Source organism: Homo sapiens, chromosome 4 (assembly GCF_000001405.40).
Source record: "Homo sapiens chromosome 4, GRCh38.p14 Primary Assembly".
Lineage (NCBI taxonomy): Eukaryota > Metazoa > Chordata > Mammalia > Primates > Hominidae > Homo > Homo sapiens.
The window spans coordinates 166,261,676-166,288,086 of record NC_000004.12 but is presented as its reverse complement, the minus strand read 5'-3'; the positions used below and the strand labels follow the sequence as shown (position 1 = coordinate 166,288,086).

Genomic DNA, 26,411 nt, shown 5'->3' with positions numbered 1-26,411 from the left:
GCTTCTAAAATTCAAATTGGATTACTTTTCTCTCCTGAACCTCTCCAATGACTTCCCATCTTACTCATGGAGAAATTCTTACAATGACCTACACAATCTGGCTCCTACACATCTCCTAATATTCTCAATTTCTCTCATTCCACTCTAGCAACACTTACCTTCTTACTGTTTCTAGAACCTTCCAGGCATGCAATGATTTCAACAGCTTGTAATTGCTATTACTGCACCTGAATCTTTCACTTCTTCCAATCTGGCTCTTTAATGTTATCTTCCTGGGGAAATTCTTTGTGAACGCTGTTTTTATTAACTAAATATGAACACTCACAAACATTTTCAAAAGCAGAGAGAGCAGTATTATGGACCCCCATGCATATATCATCTAGATAAAAAAAAAAATCAACTCATGGTCAAACTTCATCCATGGTCCTTTCTATTTATCTGCACTGGACCATAGATTATTTTCAAGAAAATGCCAGACATGATATTATGTCATTCATAAATATGGTCACACTTATTGAATGTATACATCTCACTTTGGGCAATACCCTTTTCCTTTACATGCTTTATTTTTCTTCATACCACTTATTATCCAATATTTTGTATCAATTCCTTCTTTGATTTACATTCTCTCTTCAATCTCCATTAGAATGTAATCTCTGTAAGAGTAAAGAATTTTATAGTTTGTTCACTGATAAATTTACATTGATTATTATGAACATGTAATAGTACTGGCCACGTAAGTGTTCAATAAACATTTGATGACTCTGAAAATGTATTCCTTGATGCTCAAAACTATAATATTTATGTGACTTGCCTTTACTAAATATGCATTGTTCCTCCTAGCTGTATATAAAAAGAAGCATAATCCCAAATGCTGAATCTAGAGTTTCAGATATTAAGCTATATGCTGGTGAGAAATGGCTTTTACTTTGCATTATCCTTGCAAAAGGAATGAATCACACAACGTTCACTTCCTAGCATACTCAGAAGGTGAACCTAAAATGCTTTTAAAACATTCAATTTACATTTCTGAAAAATAAACAATCACATATTCAATCTAACAATATTTGCATGCACCTGCCAACAGACAAATACATTCATTAAGCCTATAGAGGGATGTATGCATGTGGAAACAATACTGCATTCACATGACAAAAAAAGGAAAATAACTGTACAAATGTGCCCACTGGTATTAGTGCTGAATACTAATAATGTGTCGGTACCCTGAAGTGACTAAATATATGCCAAAGCGTGCTTGCCGTTTCAATCATTTCAAATAATTTCAACAAATAAAACTATTTTGGAATTCATCTTTCATCCAGAGAGTGATTCTGCACAATCTCCTCTGGGATTCATTTAAGGCCAGCTTTTCTCTATTATACTTTGTGCATAGCCTTGGGCTTATTGTGAATTTCCACGGTTGATTTTATTTTATATGAATGCCAGGATCATATACTTCCATTTCAATTCATTATTTCTGGCCTTAGCATGACCTTTAGGTTTTATTTTTATTGCCCTTTTCTCAACCATCAACAATCCTGGTTTTATTGCAATAGAGCAATAATGTAACATACTTTGGAAAATAAGGTAATTAAGACTTACTTTAGTTTCAACGTGTGTTCTTTGAACCACAAAGTCAGTACATTTTTCAAAGCATTTAGAGTGTCCAATCATCACATATAAAAATGAGCATGTGAAATGACATAGGTTTGCAATATAAAAGTATAGATAATATTTTCCTTGGCCTCTGTTTCTGTTGGAAATAGAAGGCATCTTTGACTCTCTCCATTCTGTAATCAACAGCATTTTGGGGTCCTGGAACTCCATGGTCCCAAAGCAGAAGATGTGAATCAAAACTTTGAGCATCTTTTTTATAAATATTTTTATGTAATAGTTGAATTACCTTTCGATATTGGTCATAGATATTATTATTGCTCTGGAAAATAGCTGCATTTAATAACTTTTTTCATTTTCCACTATAAGGAATTAACAGAAGCAAAACCCTTGGAGAGAGAGAGAGAGAGAGAATAATCTAAAAAGTCATCTTGGCTGGGCACGGTGGCTGACACCTGCAATCCTAGCCCTTTGGGAGGCCGAGGCAGGCAGATCACAAGATCAGGAGATAGAGACCATCCTGGCCAATGTGGTGAAACCCCGTCTCTACTAAAAAAAAAATCCCAAAAAAATTAGCTGCGGGTGGTGGTGAGTGCCTGCAGCCCCAGCTACTTGGGAGACTGAGGCAGGAAAGTCGCTTGAACCCGGGATGCAGAGGTTGCAATGAGACAAGATCATGCCACTGTACTCCAGCCTGGTGACAGAGCGAGACTCAGTCTCAAAAAAAAAAAAAAGTCATTTTAGTACAATTTGCAAAGAGATTAATCAGGAGAACTCAAAAATAAATTAAATAAAAATATACATTTGGATTGCAATATAAAATTTCATTGTGGTTTCAAATAATATATTGTCTAATGATCTGAAAAGTCAACAAAAAGTTGACTATTTTTAGTCTTAGGCATTTGTGTAGACATCAGGCAAAACCCTAAATGATAAATGGAAGAGCTATAATTCTATAAAATGGATAACATTAATATTTTATCAAGTTATGTATCCAATATTTAGCATACTATTACTAAAATAATAGATTTTAATTTATTATATATACTTTATGCATATGAATTCAACCCATGTAGCAAAGCAGAAACTTGAAAAAACATAGCTAAACAAACGAGTAGAATCCATCAATATCTGTAACAGCATTTGAATTAAAACTTTTTCCCTAAAGGGTACTCAGTTAAATAAATTGCAATGTATTAATTCAACAAGTATTTGTTAAGCATCTGTTTTTGTTTGTTTGTTTGTTTGTTTGTTTGTTTTGAGACAGAGTCTTGCACTGCCCCCAAGGCTGGAGTGCAATGGCGCAATCCGGGCTCACTGCAAGCTCAGCCTCCCAGGTTCACACCATTCTCCTGCCTCAGCCTCCCCAGTATCTGGGACTGCAGGCACCCACCACCACCCCAGCTAATTTTTTGTATTTTTAGTAGAGACGGAGTTTCACCGTGTTAGCCAGGATGGTCTCGATCTGCTGACTTCGTGATCTGCCCGTCTCGGCCTCCCAAAGTGCTGGGATTACAGGCGTGAGCCACCGCGCCCGGCCAAGCATCTTAAAATAAGCCCAACGTAGTAATAAGTGGTAGGAATCTAGTAAATTAGAAATAAAGTCACTTTTTCTCCACATTCTTCCAATGGGAGAACGTAACTGAAAATAAAAATTTGCAATAAAATGTGGCAAGAGAAGTAATGGAAGAACACCAGAAATGGTGAATGAAATTGGGCATTTTGGTGAAAACAGTTAAAATCTTCAAGAAAACATAAAATATTTAAAATGTAAATTTAAGCAGGTCCATTATGCTGTTTGAAAGTACAGGAGTATTCACTTCATAGAGAGAAGCATGAATAGAAAGTCTAGAAGGATTAATGTTAAGCAAACATTTAGATTTTAACTTTTTGCTTTTGTGAATAATAGAGCAAAAAGTCTTTGTACCTCCATTGTATTATTGGCTAAAAGCAGAATACTGATTTAAAGACTATGAGCTTCCTAAAAATAAGGCTTGTGACTATTATACTTATTACCATTGGTAGTGCATATTGTTTTTCATAACCTTTGTATTGTAGTTCTTTGTGCAATAATGTTTAGGTGGCACTTTGTCATGTAGCTCTCAGTATTGCAAATGAAGCATTATTAACATAATTATTTTTCCTTTTTCAGAAGTCTGCTCTTTTTGCATGGAAACTTGTAAAACTTTCTGCTTATCTTTTATGGTTAGTCACATATGTTGATTTATATATTTTCTTTGTATTCCTCAAGACTTGGGAGACCTTTTACACAAAGATTTACATGTTGCAGTTCAAAGAAATTTTAAAACTATCTATTGAATTATTACTTCTCCATTCTTTAATTTGTATCTTTTTAGGACTTCTTATACTTAAGTTACCGTTTTCTGGGGTTTGTCCTTGAAATCAGTAGTTGTTTTTTCACTTTTAATTTAGATTACATTCCGTTTTTTTATCCAAGATATGACACATTTCTTTCAAAAGACTGTTTGCTTTTGTTTTGTTATTGTTGTCTTATGTAACCTTTTGGGCTGTAATCAAAAATACTTGGAAATCTGTTTTGTTTCTTGTTAAAATTTTCTTCTTTGAGTTTCATTGTTGCTGATTCCACAGGATCTTTCTTTACTAATTTTTAATTTGTTTTTACTCATCCCCTTACTGAATCTCTACTTTTTACATGTTCATGCATGTTTTTCCTCAAACATCATCAAATGCCTGTTCAAGTCTCATGTTTGGCATCTCTTGTTCTGTGACAGATTAGCTACATAGAAATGTACTGCTATTTCTGATTTTGTGGACCCAAAAGTTTATTCAGTTACTACTATCTGATGGGGATTGGGTTTGAGGTTTCTATTTCTAGAGATCTCAATGCAAAACTAAAGCCTTCTGCCACTGTAAAATAGGGGAGCATCTTGATCCGCCAATGGAGATTCCTATGGTCTTCCTAAATTGACAACATTTAAATTCACTCACATTGCTCACCTGGAGTCAACAGTCTTTTTCTATGGCTTCTCTTTTGCAGAGACTTCTCTTATCATTTGGAGTCAGCAATAATGACTTTTTACACCCATTATTGGATTTAAAGATTCTGTGAGGATCTAGCCTTCTCAGATGTACTTTCAAGCTCCATTATTATCACTTTTATTTGTTGCACAATTGCAAAGGGCGAGTTGGGAAGAAACAAAACGAAGACTAGAGTTTTAAAATGGTAGAATACACATTTAGTTATTTCATGTTTCAATTCATTTTGTTTTCCCCTTTGCTATGGGATTAAGAACAATTAAGCATACAGTGAGTTCTCCTGAGGAAACATTCTTACACAGTAGGTCTAAAGGCTGAGATGAAATGAATCACTCCATCAGTGTTTATTCCCTGGAGAGTTCAGTTGCCTATAATGATGAGTATGGTGGTTAGAGCTAAGTCATCAAATAACTTTTTCTGAGTTTTGTAAGAGAATTGCTCATTAATATAATTAATGGCAGCTGTTCTAAAACAAATTAAACCAAAATATCAATTTTAATTTGCAATAATGACAACAAATGAAACCTAATATAAATCCAATATTTTCATTTCCCATTGCTGCAAGTTATTACTTGTTACAATTTGTCCTCAAGTTATTACTTCTTACAATTTGTCCTCAAGTTATTACTTGTTGCAATTTGTTGGTTGTTCGTATTATAATCATCTTTTGTGTTTAGATTCAACAATAAGAATTCATATAGGAATGCACAATTACTTCATCTAGCTAGAAATAAAACTAAAATGATTTCATAACTAGAATAACAGTTGAAATGAAAACTAACACCAAAATGAGAATGACATATTAGAACAAATATAAACTAAAATGTAAACTAGTTTACTACAACTTACAACACTCTGGTTATAATGAGTCATAAAAGGAAAATAATCATGGGTCCTTATTTCAACAAGATTGCTTAACTTCCAAATACTTGTTTCCATATATTGAGCAGCATAAATATTCACATACATATCTGTTAGTGTTTTTATAACATTTTAAAATTCAAGAATTAACTTGGTTTTATATTAAATAAACCATATTGAGATTTTTTAACTTAAGTTCTGAAATGGGTATTGAGAGAGTAAATAAAATGTTTACCCTGTCAATATAAAGGTACATGAGATTTTATGTAGTACAGTCATACATTGCTTAATGACAGTGATACATTTTGAGAAATGTATCATTAGGTGATTTTGTCCTTGTGCAAACATCACAGAGTGTACGTACACATGGCATTGCCTACTCTACAACTAGCCTAGGTGGTATCATTTATTGTTCCTAGGCTGCAAATCTGTACAGTGTGTTACAATACTGAACACTCTAAGCAATTGTAACACAATGGTATTTGTGTATCTAAACAAAGAAAAGGTAATGCATTGTGTGATGACACTAAAACAGCTACATCACTAGGTAATAAGAATTTTTCAGCTCCATCATAATCTCATGGGAACACCATGGTGTATGTGGCCTGTTGCTGATGGAAATATGATTATGTGGTGCAGACTGTTATTGGCCTTGGAAGAAATTATGTAGAATGTTTCTGATGAATGCTGAAAATCAAGTAACTGATGCTTTAAAGATCTTTAATCAAAGGATTGTTTTGATTAGTAAACACATATAAGTAGGACATGCATTTTGTGTTACTAGAATCTTGCTATACTGCTGCACCACTCAGATATTGATAGACAAATTTATAACACTACCAACCAAAAAAAGAAAACATAAGGGGTGACTTGTGATATGGAAGTTAATACTGCTCTTTTAACATCTTGCAAAATATGCTGCTCACAATGCTATATTTAATGAGAGTTTATATCATATATTGTATCACATAATATATTCTAGAATACGTTACTGGTTCATAATACAATTTTGGTAGCCACATATTTAACTATGTAAGTTTTGTTTCTTTGGAATTAGATGAAATACTATAAAATGATGGTTAACTACTTGATAGAATAATATAATTAATGAGAATCCAGCACCTTTGAACATTGAATCATACACTAAATTTTTGGAGAGATTTGAGCAGTGAGGCGTAGATATGAATGAAACATTTGAAACAGTTGCCAATACTCTGCCTTTGCACATATTCTTAAGGAAAATTCTGTGGGTGAGATTCAGCCTATAGAAGAAAACATTTCCCACAAATACTAAATAAGATTCTACAAAATAACTGAAGAAATTCCAGGAGCAAAATATAAATGTCAAGGACACAATGCAGCATGTATTGGAGCAACTGTACCTGATTCTAAAATCAAAATGTAAGGCACAGCAACAGATTAAAAAAGACACCCTGCTGCATTCAGAAGGGAGGGTAAGTCAAAGTGGAATATAAGAGGAAAAAAACAAAGCTAAGTATCAGTGTGAAAAAAGTGAACTGAGGCCATTTGTAATGCTACCAGCCATGGTCATGAGCCTATAAGACATAACATTATTCACTTTAGTATCATCAGTACTGCAAATTTAGTTACAAAGTATGCAAATACTAATATAAAGAAGAGAGAATACTAGAGTGTTCAAGTGTTGCAATGTGTTTCTTCAGCAATGGCCTTGTATGGGAGGTTGGACCTGCTGCAAACCACTAAGTCAAGCTTGAGGATGAAGTCAATATTGATGAAGGCTGAGATGTGTACAGAACGAAGGTTCTTGGTGAAGAATCTTGATTTACTGGTTGGAACAAGCTTTATCCAGATTTAGATCTTGTTCTAAGCTTTCCAGTTATTAGATATATTTGTCTTTATCTCATTATAAGCCAAATTGCCTTGTGTTTTTCTACATTTGCAGCATGCAATCTTATCTGATGCAACCATCTTCATATATTTTGATTACTTAAGCAGGAAATACATTTATAAATATTAATTAGGACACATGATAAGAATCATTCAAAATAGAAATAACATGTAGATGAACCTCCTTTCATATGATGGCTTATGATGTCCAAGTTAGGAAAGGTAGAAAAAAGCATCCTTAAATTTTCAACTTAATGCAATTCTTATAAAAGAGATATTAATAGTATTAGTAATCTTAAAATCAATCTATACATAGTAGTAGTAATAAATTAGCTAATATAGATACGCATTTATTTTAGACTAGTCATATTTCTGAAACCTTTATATGTAGCTGTGTATATACTAAATTTCAGAAAATGAAAGCTGTTGCTCTTAAACTTTACACAGGGAAAACTGGTATAAAACTGAGACTATACCAGGAAATGTATATGTATAATTATTATTCAATTTAATCCTCACAAAATCCATAAGACGAATATACTATCATTATCTTCATTTCGCAGATGAAGAATTTAAAGCAGTGGGAAGTTAAGTAACTTTTTCTGAGTCATGTAGCTATGATTTGAATATAGACATCGTGACTCCAGAAACTGAGCTCTTACTTTATTCTGATGCTGTCTAGACAGAGTGAAATAGATGTCAATTGTATATTGTAGAAGAAAAAGATTTATATATAATAATTCTTACTGAAAAGTGGGAAAAATTTACATACAGAATTCCCTGCTCTGTGGACATAAAAACATATTTAATTATATAGTCTACCTATTATATATATTATACATTATGCATATGTTTGTGTATATATATAAAATATATAAATTCTATTAAGTTCTTTTTGGTTTACAGTGGTATTAAATTTAAAATATAATTCCTTTAAATGCACTCTTAAATTGGTCACTTTGAAATGAGGTTTTAAAAAGTGGCAAATGTTACTAAGCAACAAAATACATGGTTAAAAATAAAAGAGATAAAGAACTTTTACCTATATATCTCCAACTCTTCCAGCTTTGAGATCATTTCTTCCTTTAATACACAAAAGAAATACTCTAGGAGCTGTGGGAATTGCAGCCTGCATCCTTCTGCATTCTTATTCCCTCAATAACTACCTTCTACTTGTCTGTCAAGAGACAGCTTTTCTCTGGTTTACCTCTGAGCCAGCCCACACTGCAGTCAATTTCTTGATGATTGCCTGGTAACAAACCATTTTTTCTTTCCTGGAGCCCTTGCCCTCTTTCTATACCACTGTCTCACCACTGGATACCAAACCACTTCCTTTACTCTTCACACTTTCAGTAATGAGATTATCATGTGTGGTAGACTTTAACTGAAGGTTTCATCTAATTGAGAATAATTTAAAACAGGAAAATGTTATAAAACTGGATGCTACTTCTACCTTTCTTTTCACTCTGAAAATCTGCCGTCTCTGGAGATCTCGTTCTTGCTAGTTATCAGATGTCTCATCTGATTTTGCTCAGACTACCAGTCCCAAATTCTCAAACCCCAAATTCCTGTTACTTATTATACACAGTAAGTTATTTTATCTAAACTTCTCTAGACTACTATACTATGCCTACTTTTCCCCCTTCCCGAATAACCTAAAAAAGATTAATCAATATATTTCCCAAACAGTAGAATCATGGCTAAAATAAACGATACACTATGGCTTAGAATGCAGAAACAGCAATTTCTTTTATTGAATGGGCTATATTTTTCCTACCTAATACAATTCCTTGGGGAAAGACAGAGTATAATAAGGGGGTGTACTTCTGTGTGCTTTGGACAAAGAAAGGATCAAATAAGTTTGCTGAGTGTTGAAAAATAAACTTTATTATGAAAAAAAGTATGATGCTACCTAACGCCGAACACGTTAGTATTAGGGGAATAACAGAAGCGCATTGTTTACTTAACTATTAATTAATGTACTTGTATTCATTAAGGTGAGGTGAGCTATGCCAGAGAATCAACCCTGGAATCTTATTAAACTCAGATTTATGGCTGGCCCACTTAAGATTCCACTGTGGGTGAGGAGACCCTCCTTTACAGCTTTCCACTCACTCTGGGGTCCAGATTGCATCTCTACAGAAACTGTCGCACCTCCGAACACTTCACTTCAAGCCACAAGAGAGGAAAGGGTATGCTAAAATCTCACACCGACTCTTAACCGACAAGGACCTGGTCACACGATCCCATCTTAACCAACGGGAGGCTGGTAAAAATCTTTTATGCGTACCCAGGACACGAGCCAGAAAATGGCACCGACTCTGCGACAATTCCTATTCTTAACAAATGAATGTCCCAAGTGAATATGAAGCGTTATGATATTTCAATTGTTTAACTCTTTGACACTTCACTTAACATGAAGTTTTGAAGTACCAAAGTGCAAGATTTAAGCAAAATATCTTCTATAGCTAAGAAATAAAATTTAAGTGGATTTCAAACCAGAAAGGTATTGTTAATTCTAACTAGTGAGTGTGAGACTGTATAAACAGAATATTACTTCATGACTGGACATTTCATGGCATTTAAAGTACTTATCAAAGATATGCATACTAACTATAAATTTCAGAGTTGCTAAAAGTTGATGCAGTTATTCTTTTTACTCATCAGCAATTTGTATACATCAGATATTAAAGCCAACCGCAGCATATTGCATTTATATGGGTTTCAGTAGCTGAATCATCTCATTAATCTTCCTAAGCATTTTTGTATTTCATTATCCTATGTAGATATACAAAAACTTTCTTTGCCTACCAGACTTTTTACATTATTTATGGTAACTAGAATAGTCCTACTTTCAGGGAATTTTCTTTTTTAAAAACAGCCTTTTTTTTTTATTTTTTTTTTTTTGCTGTTGTTTGATCTACCATAGCTTTTTGTGTCTAAAAAATGATATGTATTCCCTCTCTAACAAAATATAATTCATGCTCCCTATAGAAAACACAGACCAGGAGAAGAAAACAATCATTAACTAAGATTTCTCACACCAAAAGTATTCAGTATTATCATTTTATCTATATACTACCAGTCACATAAGCGTGTGGGTCTATGAATACACACACATTCCTGGAATACATACACATTCTTTGTCATTCATTTTTGGTTTGGCAAAAATGTGATAGCACACTTCCAAAGGCCTTTCTTTAAAAGCTTAACTTTCAAAACACACAATACCCAATGAAAAAGGAAGAAGAAGCATGAAGACAGTGATTAATTTAAACAACATTCAAATAAACCTACCCTCATTCCAAAATGTGCAGACAATATTCTTTAGGAATAAATAATGTAACATGGGAAGCATTTAAATTTAGTTATGCATTTTATACAATAGATATTGAAGGCAATACTCAAAATCTAGGAATTGAAAACCACTTGCCATTTTCACTGAATGTATTAACTTTTATCAGAAAAGGTTTACCTAACTTAATTTGCAAACATCAAGACCTCTTTGGGTTCTTGTTACCACAATCAGCACCCTGTAAAACACTTGGCAAAAAAAAAGATAATGTATTCTTCATTAATGAACGTTCCGGGAAATGACAGAAAAAATAGTATTGTAATCTTGTTTGTACCTTTTTGACTTTGTGGGTATGTTAACTGAAACTTGAACTGTTTTGAAATTCTTAAGGAAATTGCAGCAAATATATAGTGAGAATTTTGTTTTTAAATTCCATTGTTACTCAAATATTGTCACAAACTTACAAAATTATAGCCTATTATATTCTTCATTTTGTTGCACACATACGTAATGATTATATAACAACATATTATATGTCATGTTATGTTTTATGTTACATGTGCATGTGTGTATGTATCTAAATAGAGATATATACAAATGCATGCCTTGTATAGTTACTATCTATCCAACTAATAGTTAATGTGGCTAAGTAAAGCATAAAAAATCAGAATACTTGGCATTCAAATTCTAGTTCCTCGACCAACATGCTTTGTATACCTACACAAATCACTTTTGATTTTGCCAAAGTTTTATTTAACTTACATTTCTCAGATATTGTCTTGAGCTACAAGAGACATTTTTATTTTATTCTTTGGATTTGTAAGTTAATACTTTGTGTAATCTTGATATTGTTTACAGTGCAGTTTAAGACTATAGAAATTGATGCATTTTCTATCTCTACTTGCTGTGAGAAATGCCTGCTCCAAATAAGGCTTTTATAAATTCTAACATGAGTTGAAATCATCCGGCTTTATTCATGACCCTCTGAGATAGCAATTATTCACAAATTGTATCACCCACTGTGATTTATAAGATTCTCATTTCTGTTATATAAGTTAAAGTGTGTCCATGTAAGTCATACTGTCACCTATTTTATTATTTCAATAATCTCAACTCATCATTTGATATTTTCAGGATCTCCTTATGGTAACCAATTAAGAAAACAGTGCATTCATTTTCATAAATGAACATTTAGTTTTTATCAATAATTCTTACTTCATATAAACTACTTTGATTCAAGAGACACTCCTCTTTTTGCAGAAAAAAAATGTGGGCATTGGTTTTCTGAAAGCCATTGTGAAGAATATTATTAATATATAGTTTATTTTCCTCTCTATCATCCTTATTACTCTCTAAATGTACAAAAGTTATTTTTCTTATATTTCTATAACTTTTCTAAAAGAAAAAAAAGAAGACATTCTCACTATGGTTGTGTTTACAATGTATTCAACACAGAACATAAGAAATAAAAAGCTTTAAAGTAAGATAATGTCTATACAAACAGATTATATTAAAATCTTGAAAGTTGATTTGTTTCAGATCTAAATGGAATTAACATGAGTTTTTATTGACTGAAAATATCAGTCATCACAGACAACCTGAGCCATTCACTCATTTATCTTCACTTAATTAATAGACAATTACTGTTTTTGTTCAAGAACTATTTTGAGTGTTATCACTGAGTATTTTAGAGTAACTGATCTGAAAGTTTTCCAGAGTAGGAAAAGGAAATGTGAATATTTGTATTACATTTTAATTTCTCAACCTTGTCAATTATTTACTTATTCTTCCTGTAATTTTGTTATTAGACCTCTATCATTTCAGTATACAAGTGGCAATACATTGGAAATATTTTAAAGTTAATAAGTTGTAGATATCTGATATATTTAATTAGACATAATTATCTTAGAAAGAATCAGCTAAATGCTTCTTTACTAATAAAAATAACAGATGGTCCAGAAACAAAGTAAAGTACACATATGTTTGATTACCCAAACTTTCTCAGATGAGCATTTCCATATTCAAATTGTAGCACAATTTTAACCTTGGATTTTTAGTAACAAGAACCTTACTTTCGAGATCAATTTTTTTCAACCCACTTACTCACTGCTAAAGAGATAAGAAGGTTAATAATCATCTGTATAACTTTTATTGTAAAACTCTGTGACATCCAATCATTTTTCTCTTCACTTCTTTATTCTTGTCTCCTAAATTCACTCAAAAACTGCTATTTTGCCCTCATTCCCTCAATTCCAACAGCATCTCCTCTCTTTGTTGACTTTAAAATATCAGTTAATTTAATGTACTAGAGAACCAAATCTCTCTTTTACTCCAGAATAAAGCCTGACTCTGATCACATACTTTCTGTGATCTTTCTGATATTTTCTTTCTTTTCTATTTTCATATCTGCACCCTTAGCCCCTAGTTACACTGACCATGCATCTATTGCATCATATCCGTTTTCCTAACAATGTCTCCTTCAAAGTCCATTTATCCTGTGTATAAAGCAAGATGATCAGTTTTTATTTGCAAAATACTGCAATTAATTGCATCACTTTTTTGAAAATAATATTAAATACAAAAATTTGAGTAGACTTTCTAAGAAGGAATTACCATCTGTAATGATTACCCTGGTGGTTAAGTTTAATTCCATATTTTTAAAAAGACGCTGCTACTACGTCTCTGAGGTCTTTCTTTCACATCTTAGAATCTGTGCCAAGCCACGCCACCACATGCACATTATGCTTCAGGCTATGTGATGCTCTTTGTATGTCTTTCAGTGTACCTCCTGCTTTGCACAAACCTGTTGGGGAAACCAGCCCCACACCACCCAGCGGGTACCCCGAGTCCGGCGGAGACAAAGGAGTTAGAAGGAGACAGAATAAACGTTTAAAACGCGGGTCCAGGGGACCGGAGTGTCGGAGGCTTGCTCAGGGCCCAGAGCTCTCAGGCTCCGCCCAATTTATTGGTTTACAAGCTCTTTGTTCTTAGGGCACATGGGACGGGGAGGAAAGGATGAGGAAAATGATTAATCAGTGGAGGAGAACTCGTGAGTCATTGGATAAGATGTATAGCAGTGGCGGTTTCTGTGAATTTCCTTGAGCAAAGCCATGTGTCTAAACTACTTAAAACGGGTGGGAGCAGGTTTCAGGAGGAGCCAAGATGTTTGATTATACTCCACTGCTTCAAGGGAGTGTTATCTCCCTGAGCTACCTGCGGAATGCCGCTGAGCGGTTATGCTCTCGGGGCATAAAGACATGAAAGCAAAAAGGAGACTTTTCTCCTCAGAGGCCGCCCATGGCTCCCCATGGGTGTCTCACACAGGGGAGACCAACTCAACTGGCACCCCAGAAACTCTCTTTCCCACACAAACCACTGCTTTTTGGGATCCTTTCTTCCTCCTCCTTGTCTTGACTGACTCCTATGCATCCTTGAAGACCCAGTTTACATCACCTGGGAGTCTTCCCTGACTCCTAGATTCTATGTTCTACACTTTTTTTAATTCCCCACAAAGCAGCAGTTCTCCATCTGCCTCCTCCAGTAGACATGGGGTCTTTCTTCATGACCATTTTTTCAAAGACTGCATAACATAGTGCATGATACATATTTGATACTCAATGTGTTAAAATATATTATAACAAATGAATTATTATTCAGAATAAGCTACAAGCGCCTTAACAACGAATCCCTCTGAACTTTTTCACCAGTACCCACACTTTGCTAGATTCTGGATCAATTTATTGCATTTTATCAGTGCTCATAAAGTAATCTTCCTTCTCCAAATAGCTTAGTTTCTTCCTAGGCTGGTTTTGTCTGCTTTGCTTTTGTATTCATATGAAAACATTTTCAATCATTAAAACAATTTTCTTCTCCCATGTTCAAAATAAACCCAGTTTAACCAACCAACAAGATCATGATAACCAAATCTTAGCACCTGATGTAACTTAAATTTTTCTCAGCAGGAAGACTTAGAAAACTATACTGCAGAACCCACAGTGGGACACCTTAAATGAGCACAGGGCTCTTAAACAGGCATAGGGAATGCACACTATGGGTTTCATTATTTTAGTAGTTTTCTTGTATATTCCAAGTCATTTTTATGGACATGCTATAAAGTTTTCTATGCAAATAAATTGATTTCGTTTTAAAGAAAGAACTTTAAATACAAAAAAATACTAAGTAAATAATCATAGAGGTGACATGCAGACATTGTGAAAGTTGTGTCAATATTATATTAATGATGTTTGAATACTTTTAATTTTTGTTTGAGAAGAAGTCTCACACTGTCGCCGAGACTAGAGTGCAGTGGCGTGATCTCGGTTCACTGCAACCTCCGCCTTCAGGGTTCAAGTGATTCTCATGCTTCAGCCTCCCAAGCAGCTGGAATCACAGGCGCCCACCACCACACCTGGGTAATTTTTTTATTTTTAGTGGAGATGGGGTTTCACCATGTTGGCCAGGCTGGTATCAACCTGTCTTGCCCTCAAAAAATTTTGGGATTACAGGTGTGATCCACCATGGCTGGCCTGAAAATTTTTATAATAAAGAGACTAGTAGGTTTTACAGTAAATATATTGATCCTAAAAAGAGAAACAATTTTTACATATGAGCAAATCAGCAAAGTTTTGGTGAGTAAAACACACTGTTTTATCACATACACTTCTATTTGTGAGGACTCTAGTGTCACAAGATGATGGCATGTTCCATTTAGCAAAAACCGTTTCCGTTTTCTTAGTCAGTGTAATAGAGAATTTCATTTGCTTTGCTGAAAAATTCCTGCCATAACATGCTTCCAGATTGGGATTTATGATAATTTTTAAATTCTTCTGAATGGATAATGATAAGCTTTCTTGATTGGAAGAAATATTTTGGCCTGGCATGGTGGCATCACGCCTGTAATCCTAGCACTTTGGGAGGTGGAGGCGGGTGGATCACCTGAGGTCAGGAGTTTGAGACCAGTCTGGCCAACATGGTGAAACCCCATCTCTACTAAAAATACAAAAAATTAGCTGGGCATGGTGGCAAGTGCCTGTAACCCCAGCTACTCTGGAGGCTGAGGCAGGAGAATGGCATGAACCCAAGGAGGCAGAGGTTGCAGTGAGCAAAGATCGTGCCATTGCACTCCAGCCTGGGCAACAGGACAAAACTCCATCTCCAAAAAAAAAGAAAAGAAAAAGGAGAAATATTTGACTTTTGTAAAACATAATTTTGTCATGACTTCTTATAATGATTGGTGCATATGAAGATCTTAATTTTTTGAAACAGTAAAGGAAATTGACATTATAAAAAACTGGACTTTTAGTGCATTAAGTTGATATAAAAAGACATTTTCTACATCAACATACTCATCTATTTAAAAAAAAAAAATGACCAGCAGCTAGAATTAAGGTTTAAGACTCTGCTTTCTCTGCCTGACAGCAATTTTTAGAAATAATCCAGTCCATCACGTGAAAATATATGATTTATGGCTAAGAAATTAGTCACTTAGAAAAGATCTAGTAATTACCAAATGAGAACTTAAAAATATATATTTATGTTAATCAACAACTGAAGCTAAAGGAAATGAGTGATAATGTTATTTTTGGAAAAACTAATATGTGCTATAGGGAAAGTATTATGCCTTGTTTTAATGGTGCTGGCTTTTTTTGTTTAAAGATTTGCTCATTTACAATTTAGATGTCCTCAGGGACAAGTTCTTTTGCTATTATTTTTCTTTCAGAATGAAAAATTTTAACAATAATTCTTAAATAAATTGGCATACAAATATCCAGAGAGGAGCATCGCGCTGCAATAAAGGAGTATTTCCTAAAAACTTTTTTACTTTATTTTTTATTATTATTATTATTATACTTTAAGTTTTAGGGTACATGTGCACAACGAGCAGGTTAGTTACATATATATACATGTGCCATGCTGGTATGCTGCACCCATTAATGCGTCACTTAGCATTAGGTGCCATGCTGGTGCGCTGCACCCACTAATGTGTCATCTAGCATTAGGTATATCTCCCAATGCTATCCCTCCCCCCTCCCCCGACCCCACCACAGTCCCCAGAGTGTGATATTCCCCTTCCTGTGTCCATGTGATCTCATTGTTCAATTCCCACCTATGAGTGAGAATATGCGGTGTTTGATTTTTTCTCCTTGCCATAGTTTACTGAGAATGATGATTTCCAATTTCATCCATGTCCCTACAAAGGACATGAACTCATCATTTTTTATGGCTGCATAGTATTCCATGGTGTATATGTGCCACATTTTCTTAATCCAGTCTATCATTGTTGGACATTTGGGTTGGTTCCAAGTCTTTGATATTGTGAATAGTCCTGCAATAAACATACGTGTGCATGTGTCTTCATAGCAGCATGATTTATAGTCCTTTGGGTATATACCTAGTAATGGGATGGCTGGGTCAAATGATATTTCTAGTTCTAGATCCCTGAGGAATCGCCACACTGACTTCCACAATGGTTGAACTACTTTACAGTCCCACCAACAGTGTAAAAGTGTTCCTATTACTCCACATCCTCTCCAGCACCTGTTGTTTCCTGACTTTTTAATGATTGCCATTCTAACTGGTGTGAGATGGTATCTCATTGTGGTTTTGATTTGCATTTCTCTGATGGCCAGTGATGATGAGCATTTTTTCATGTGTTTTTTGGCTGCATAAATGTCTTCTTTTGAGAAGTGTCTGTTTATGTACTTCGCCCACTTTTTGATGGGGTTCTTTGATTTTTTCTTGTAAATTTCTTTGAGTTCATTGTAGATTCTGAATATTAGCCGTTTGTCAGATGAGTAGGTTGTGAAAATTTTCTCCCATTTTGTAGGTTGCCTGTTCACTCTGATGGTAGTTTGTTTTGCTGTGCAGAAGTCTTTAGTTTAATTAGATCCCATTTGTCAATTTTGGCTTTTGTTGCCATTGCTTTTGGTGTTTTAGACATGAAGTCCTTGCCCATGCCTATGTCCTGAATGGTAATGCCTAGGTTTTCTTCTAGGGTTTTTATATGGTTTTAGGTCTAACATTTAAGTCTTCAATCCATCTTGAATTAATTTTTGTATAAGGTGTAAGGAAGGGATCCAGTTTCAGCTCTCTACATATGGCTAGCCAGTTTTCCCAGCATCATTTATTAAATAGGGAATCCTTTCCCCATTGCTTGTTTTTCTCAGGTTTGTCAAAGATCAGATAGTTGTAGATATGCGGTGTTATTTCTGAGGGCTCTGTTCTGTTCCATTGATCTATATCTCTGTTTTGGTACCAATAGCATGCTGTTTAGGTTACTGTAGCCTTGCAGCATAGTTTGAAGTCAGGTAGCGTGATGCCTCCAGCTTTGTTCTTTTGGCTTAAGATTGACTTGGCGATGCAGGCTCTTTTTTGGTTCCATATGAACTTTAAAATAGTTGTTTCCAATTCTGTGAAGAAAGTCATTGGTAGCTTGATGGGGATGGCATTGAATCTATAAATTACCTCGGGCAGTATGGCCATTTTCACGATATTGATGCTTCCTACCCATGAGCATGGAATGTCCTTCCATTTGTTTGTATCCTCTTCTATTTCATTGAGCAGTGGTTTGTAGTTCTCCTTGAAGACGTCCTTCACATCCCTTCTAAGTTGGATTTCTAGGTATTTTATTCTCTTTGAAGCAATTGTGAATGGGAGTTCACTCATGATTTGGCTCTCTGTTTGTTATTGGTGCATAAGAATGCTTGTGATTTTTGTACATTGATTTTGTATCCTGAGACTTTGCTGAAGTAGCTTATCAGCTTAAGGAGATTTTGGGCTGAGACAATGGGGTTTTCTAAATATACAATCATGTCATCTGCAAACAGGGACAATTTGACTTTCTCTTTTCCTAATTGAATACCCTTTACTTCCATCTCCTGCCTAAATGCCCTGGCCAGAACTTCCAACACTATGTTGAATAGGAGTGGTGAGAGAGGGCATCCCTGTCTTCTGCCAGTTTTCAAAGGGAAAGCTTCCAGTTTTTGCCCATTCAGTATGATATTGGCTGTGGGTTTGTCATAGATAGCTCTTATTATTTTGAGATATGTCCCATCAATACCTAATTTATTGAAGAGTTTTTAGCATGAAGCGTTGTTGAATTTTGTCAAAGGCCTTTTCTGCATCTATTGAGATAATCATGTGGTTTTTGTCTTTGGTTCTGTTTATATGCTGGATTACATTTATTGATTTGTGTATATTGAACCAGCCTTGCATCCCAGGGATGAAGCCCACTTGATCATGGTGGATAAGCTTTTTGATGTGCTGCTGGATTCAGTTTGCCAGTATTTTATTGAGGATTTTTGCATCAATGTTCATCAAGAATATTGGTCTGAAATTCTCTTTTTTGGTTGTGTCTCTGCCCGGCTTTGGTATCAGGATGATGCTGGCCTCATAAAATGAGTTAGGGAGGATTCCCTATTTTTCTATTGATTGGAATAGTTTCAGAAGGAATGGTACCAGTTCCTCCTTGTACCTCTGGTAGAATTCGGCTGAAAATCCATCTGGTCCTGGACTCTTTTTGGTTGGTAAGCTATTGATTATTGCCTCAATTTCAGAGCCTGTTATTGGTCTATTCAGAGATTCAGCTTCTTCCTGGTTTAGTCTTGGGAGAGTGTATGTGTCGAGGAATTTATCCATTTCTTCTAGATTTTCTAGTTGATTTGTGTAGAGGTGTTTGTAGTATTCTCTGATGGTAGTTTGTACTTCTGTGGGATCGGTGGTGATATCCCCTTTATCATTTTTTTTCGTGTCTATTTGATTGTTCTCTCTTTTGTTCTTTATTAGTCTTGCTAGCTGTCTATCAATTTTGTTGATCCTTTCAAAAAACTGGCTCCTGGATTCATTAATTTTTTGAAGGGTTTTTTGTGTCTCTATTTCCTTCAGTTCTGCTCTGATTTTGGTTATTTCTTGCCTTCTGCTAGCTTTTGAATGTGTTTGCTCTTGCTTTTCTAGTTTTTTTAATTGTGATGTTAGGGTGTCAATTTGGATCTTTTCTGCTTTCTCTTGTGGGCATTTAGTGCTATAAATTTCCCTCTACACACTGCTTTGAATGTATCCCAGAGATTCCGGTATGTTGTGTCTTTGTTCTTGTTGGTTTCAAAGAACATCTTTATTTCTGCCTTCATTTCGTTATGTACCCAATAGTCATTCAGGAGCAGGTTGTTCAGTTTCCACGTAGTTGAGCAGTTTGAGTGAGTTTCTTAATCCCGAGTTCTAGTTTGATTGCAGTGTGGTCTGAGAGACAGTTTTTTGTAATTTCTGTTCTTTTACATTTGCTGAGGAGAGCTTTACTTCCAAGTATGTGGTCAATTTTGGAATAGGTGTGGTGTGGTGCTGAAAAAAATGTATATTCTGTTCATTTGGGGTGCAGAGTTCTGTAGATGTCTATTAGGTCTGCTTGGTGCAGAGCTGAGTTCAATTCCTGGGTATCCTTGTTAACTTTCTGTCTCATTGATCTGTCTAATGTTGACAGTGGGGTGTTAAAGGCTCCCATTATTATTGTGTGGGAGTGTAAGTCTCTTTGTAGATCACTCAGGACTTGCTTTATGAATCTGGGTGCTCCTGTATCGGGTGCATATATATTTAGGATAGTTAGCTCTTCTTGTTGAATTGATCCCTTTACCATTATGTAATGGCCTTCTTTGTCTCTTTTGATCTTTGTTGGTTTAAAGTCTGTGTTATCAGAGACTAGGATTGCAACCCCTGCCTTTTTTTGTTTTCCATTTGCTTGGTAGATCTTCCTCTATCCTTTGATTTTGAGCCTATGTGTGTCTCTGCACGTGAGATGGGTTTCCTGAATACAGCACACTGATGGGTCTTGACTCTTTATCCAATTTGCCAGTCTGTGTCTTTTAATTGGAGCATTTAGTCCATTTACATTTAAAGTTAATATTGTTATGTGTGAATTTGATCCTGTCATTATGATGTTAGCTGGTTATTTTGCTCGTTAGTTGATGCAGTTTCTTCCTAGTCTCGATGGTCTTTACAATTTGGCATGATTTTGCAGCAGCTGGTACCAGTTGTTCCTTTCCATGTTTAGTGCTTCCTTCAGGAGCTCTTTTAGGGCAGGCCTGGTGGTGACAAAATCTCTCAGCATTTGCTTGTCTGTAAAGTATTTTATTTCTCCTTCACTTATGAGGCTTAGTTTGGCTGGATATGAAATTCTGAGTTGAAAATTCTTTTCTTTAAGAATGTTGAATATTGGCCCCCACTCTCTTCTGGCTTGTAGAGTTTCTGCCGAGAGATCCGCTGTTAGTCTGATGGGCTTCCCTTTGTGGGTAACCTGACCTTTCTCTCTGGCTGCCCTTAACATTTTTTCCTTCATTTCAACTTTGGTGAATCTGACAATTATGTGTCTTGGAGTTGCTCTTCTCGAGGAGTATCTTTGTGGCGTTCTCTGTATTTCCTGAATCTGAATGTTGGCCTGCCTTGCTAGATTGGGGAAGTTCTCCTGGATAATATCCTGCAGGGTGTTTTCCAACTTGGTTCCATTCTCTCCGTGACTTTCAGGTACACCAATCAGACGTAGATTTGGTCTTTTCACATAGTCCCATATTTCTTGGAGGCTTTGTTTCTTTTTATTCTTTTTTCTCTAAACTTCCATTCTCACTTCATTTCATTCATTTCATCTTCCATCACTGATACCCTTTCTTCCAGTTGATCGCATCGGCTCCTGAGGCTTCTGCATTCTTCACGTAGTTCTCGAGCCTTGGCTTTCAGCTCCATCAGCTCCTTTAAGCACTTCTCTATATTGGTTATTCTAGTTATACATTCGTCTAAATTTTTTTCAAAGTTTTTAACTTCTTTGCCTTTGGTTTGAATTTCCTCCTGTAGCTCAGAATAGTTTGATCGTCTGAAGCCTTCTTCTCTCAATTCGTCAAAGTCATTCTCCATCCAGCTTTGTTCCGTTGCTGGTGAGGAACTGCGTTCCTTTGGAGGAGGAGAGGCGCTCTGCTTTTTAGAGTTTCCAGTTTTTCTGCTCTGTTTTTTCCCCATCTTTGTGGTTTTATCTACTTTTGGTCTTTGATGATGGTGATGTACAGATGGGTTTTTGGTGTGGATGTCCTTTCTGTTTCTTAGTTTTCCTTCTAACAGACATAACCCTCAGCTGCAGGTCTGTTGGAGTTTGCTAGAGGTCCACTCCAGACCCTGTTTGCCTGGGTATCAGCAGCGGTGGCTGCAGAGCAGTGGATTTTCATGAACCGTGAATGCTGCTGTCTGATTGTTCCTCTGGAACTTTTGTCTCAGAGGAGTACCGGGCCGTGTGAGGTGTCAGTCTGCCCCTACTGGGAGGTGCCTCCCAGTTAGGCTGCTCGGGGGTCAGGGTTCAGGGACCCACTTGAGGAGGCAGTCTGCCCGTTCTCAGATATCCAGCTGCATGCTGGGAGAACCACTGCTCTCTTCAAAGCTCAGATGGAAATGCAGAAATCACCCATCTTCTGCGTCGCTCATGCTGGGAGCTGTAGACTGCAGCTGTTCCTATTCAGCCATCTTGCAATAAAGTCTTAACTGTAGTCCTTGCTACTTGGGGGGCTGAGGTGGGAGGATCAAGTTTTTTACTTTATATTAAATCAAATGATTTTGTCCTTTATATTGCCAGTAAATTTTATAAAATCATGTTACAAAGAATAAGTCAGCCAAAGATGTTATGTGAAACAGTTTAAATAAATTAGTTCTTATTAATAGTGCTTGTTTCATACCCAGAAATAGATAACACTATTTCTTCATCTTGCTCCCACACTCTCAACTTTAGAAATACCTATATACAAAGGAGTAGAGATAATTAATGTAAATAACAGACATGAAAGAACAAGAATGATGCATATATAGAAATTAGAAATTATAAAAATGGTTCCATAATGAATGAATAAAGAAAATGTGGTATATATTTATACCATGGAAAACTATTCATCCATAAAAAGAATGAAAGCATGTCATGTGCAGCAATATGGATGAACCCGGAGGGTATTATACTGAGTAAAATAAGCCAGGCACAGAATACAAATACTGCACATTCTCACTCATTTGTGAGAGCTAAAGAAAAGAAAAAAGAAAAAAAATGCATCTCATGTGGAAGTAGAAAGTAGAATAGTAGTTACCAGAAACTGGAGATGGTAGGGAGGAGGGTAAGATGGGGAAAACTTGTTAATAGGTGCAAAGTTACAATTAGAACTAAGAAAGAATAAGTTCTAGTGTCCTATTGCACAGTAGGGTGACTGTCAACAATAAATTATTGCATATCTCAAAATTGCTAGAAGAGAGAATTTCCTATCTTCCCAACACAAAGAAATAATGATTTGCAGTACTGGATATTCTACTTACCCTGAATTCAACGTTACACATTGTATACTTTTATCACAACATCACTTTGTACCCTATAAATATGTACAATTATTATGTGACAATAAGAAAAAGATTACAGATCCAAAAGAATGAAAGGAGTCAGCATTTATTCATTGATTGTCTTGAGTTTACTGATGAATAGGTGATTTAAAGTGGCATTATCTAATTTGATATTTGCAATAACTCATAGGGATGGTTATAAATGTTGACATTTTACATTTATGGAAAGATATTATTAATAGGTATTACTGTCTTTACAACGTTACATAACTAGTAAGTGGTAAATCAGAAATCTGAGACTGAATCATATGATTCCAATTTCTGTGTATGTTTTGTTAGTTATATGTCTATTTTGCAGCCCTATTTTTTTCTGTTTATATGTTGACTATGATGTTCTTCCTTGGAGGGTGTTATGTACTACTAATCAAACAATATAAAAAGTATCATTTAGCACAGTTCTAGCTGAAGGAAGAATGAATGCAGAATAAGAAAATAATAAATCAACAATCAAGGAGAAGTCAAGGTGAGTGGTTTCAAAAACCATTTCATCATATCTTTGAGTTGAAATTGGAACTTGAATTAAACAATATTCTCATATCAGAAGGCTAAATATGTAGGAAAAACATCTGACTTGTGTTATATTTGAACAGAGAACCTATCTTGAGGCTCAAATTCTACAGTTCTTTCCAGAGAGTCTCAGGATAGGCTTATGCAAATAGCTGTTGAAATTCCTTGGCTTTAGTGGACTGAAGTTGCTCCCACTAAACTTGTTTTCCATTGACCCCTGAACCATAAATACCTGGTCTCACTGAATTGTTTCATTTCCAAACAGGTATGAAGATCATGGACATAAAATAGATGTTTCACGGGTCTGGGTCGCTAATGTGGTAATTTGCATGCACATGAGTTGTCCATGTTTTTTTACAACAGGTTAGAAACCATCCTTGTTTAGGCACCAAGAAGCAGTCTAGTAAGTCCTCATCAAGAAGTTTATATTTGGATTGCCTGAGACTCTCTTATTGTCTAACCTTTCTCCCATCCAATGAGCAAATGAAATAGAAGACCTAGAATCTAAACACAGTGCAAAATGTCACTTCTATTGAGGTGAGACTAGAAGCTTCCCTACCAAGATATCATTCAGAGTGCACAAGTAGAGTCTGGAAGAAGCTAAGAAAATGTAGCAGGAAGGCATAGAAGTAAGTCCCAGATAGATAACTGGGCCCCTAAATCAGCTCAATCAGAGGTGGCAGATTGTCTCTATGAGCCCCATCATTCCTCCAAATTCTACTCTCCATGCCTGTTCATAACCAATGGGCCTTGTAATTCTGCTTCCTTCCCTTTGATCTCATTGGAATGGTCTAGTTCAAATCAGATTATTGATCACCTCAAGTTCACAATGTTCACTCCAAAATTCACCAGGTAACATCAGCATGGTATCTCCATTAATATTTCCTCTCTCTGTATTTTGTAATTTCCAGAAAGTGCCTCTAGATAATCTGGTATCTTAGCTTCTTACAGCTGAAGGCCATCTACCACATTCACCAAATTTTATATTAAATTAACATTATTTTATAATATATTTTCTCTGTGTATTGGTAATGACCCATTTCTATTGATTTACTTTCAATAGTCAAACATGATTTTCCATTTGCCTCTAAAATACATTTTGGAGGGAACAAACTCATGCTCCAAAGGTGGACTCTTTTTCAATTCAGATTATTATCCTCTTTTGCCATTGGTCTAGAAAAGTTTTAGTCTTTAGAGTATCATCCTCTTTTGCCATTAGTCTAGAAAAGTGTAGTCTTTACCACTGCCATAGTTGTCCCCCAAATTAACAGCCCTACACAGTGAACTCTTCTCAACCTCAGGAGCTGGATATCTAAAAATATTGCATAGTTGAGAAAAAACTACAAGGGATATAAAAGTATCATAAAAATTATGTTTAGAAGATAATATAATCATTAAAGATAATGTAATAAGGGACTTCCTTTAAATAATGTCAGTGGTTCATACATGTGTTTACAACCAATCTCTTCCAAAGCCCAACCCTACATGATGTGCATATCATCAACCAAAGTAAGGAAAGGGGACAGCAGCACCAATATATTGGAAGCTGAAAGCAGGCATAAGTAACACAGCATGCAAAGAGCACTAAAACATGTGCTGGCATTGCATGAAGACCAGAAGCAAGCTGGTTGGTGCTGAGATCACCTAAGGCCTCAGAATCCAGAAGTATCAAGTGCTTCTCCAAAACAGAGAAAGCTGAGGCTGACCTGCCTCCCTCCAAAATCCTCTTTTCTTTCCCATGCAGCTGCATAACTCCCAATCCGACAATCTTGGGAGAAGAGTCAAAGTTTTATCTTTGAGAGAGTTTGAACCACAGTCCCTCTAAACTCTGCAACAGTGAGTGTCATTGCAAGTGGTGGCACTTGGGCTGAAGCAGGGAATTAAGTGAAATTCTGCACATGGTACAGTGTGATTTCTACCCTCAAACCTTCACTTGGCTCAAAAAAATTTTGGCAGCCATTTTTACAACTTATGTCCAGGAATTAGAGAATTTCTCACTAGTAAAATTTGCTAATGCAAGAGAGGAAACTCAGAGACATTGAAAATGAGATTTGCCACACACACAAAAAAAAATATTTGAACCTGGGTACATTGCAGTGCAGCCCACCAACAGACACGTAGCACATATAAAATCTGAGGTGATGATAGTTCATGTATTTGCAAGTAAGTGTAGTTCCTAGGAAAAGAAAATGATGTCAACTACTGTTTCTTTTCCACCTTGAGTGAAACACAAATAGAGACTATAAAGGGTAATGTAAAAAGAGGAGAAAAATAAAATATAATAACCTATTTTATTTTCATATGTATGTATAAAGCATGGTATTTGAAATTCACATTTGGCAAAACTGGCGTGAGAGTTTACTCTCTATGTTAAGTGCAAGTAGTTTTTCTTTCCATGATTCTGTTTTTGTTAACAACTAATCTCTGTCTGTTGATTGTCATTCCAAAATGATAGGAAACTTTTCTTGGGATAAATATTAGCATCATCAGAAAAGCTCACTAATATTCAAATTAGTATAATTCAACCAGTCATTTTAACAAGTCACACAAAACTAATGTCTCAAAACTGCAAGATAACGACTAGTAAATTCAATAATTAGATTCCTTTGGTAAAAATCAAGGGATTAATATAGTAGCTTATTATTAGATACAAATTGTTTATTGACTTTTACTGTATTTTCAATAAATCTGTGTGCTTTTTGTTCCACTTAATCATTCCAAAATGAAAAGAAAATACAACATAAACCTAATGAAGTAAAGATATTGACCTTTATTGTTCTTTGACCCAGAAACTAAAGAGCAGTTTTGACTTTGGGTATCTCTACAGATATCATTGTGTTCTCAG

The 26,411-nt window shown here is 35.4% G+C and overlaps 1 annotated feature.

Moving 5' to 3' along the window:
- Window positions 1,375–1,544: an enhancer, noted in NCBI's record as "experimental_75833 CRE fragment used in MPRA reporter constructs". NCBI's record gives its function as "activates a minimal promoter by MPRAs in K562 erythroleukemia cells, with activity observed for both the introgressed and non-introgressed 4:167207780 variant alleles {active_cell/tissue: K562}" and the evidence as "EXISTENCE:reporter gene assay evidence [ECO:0000049][PMID:34662402]".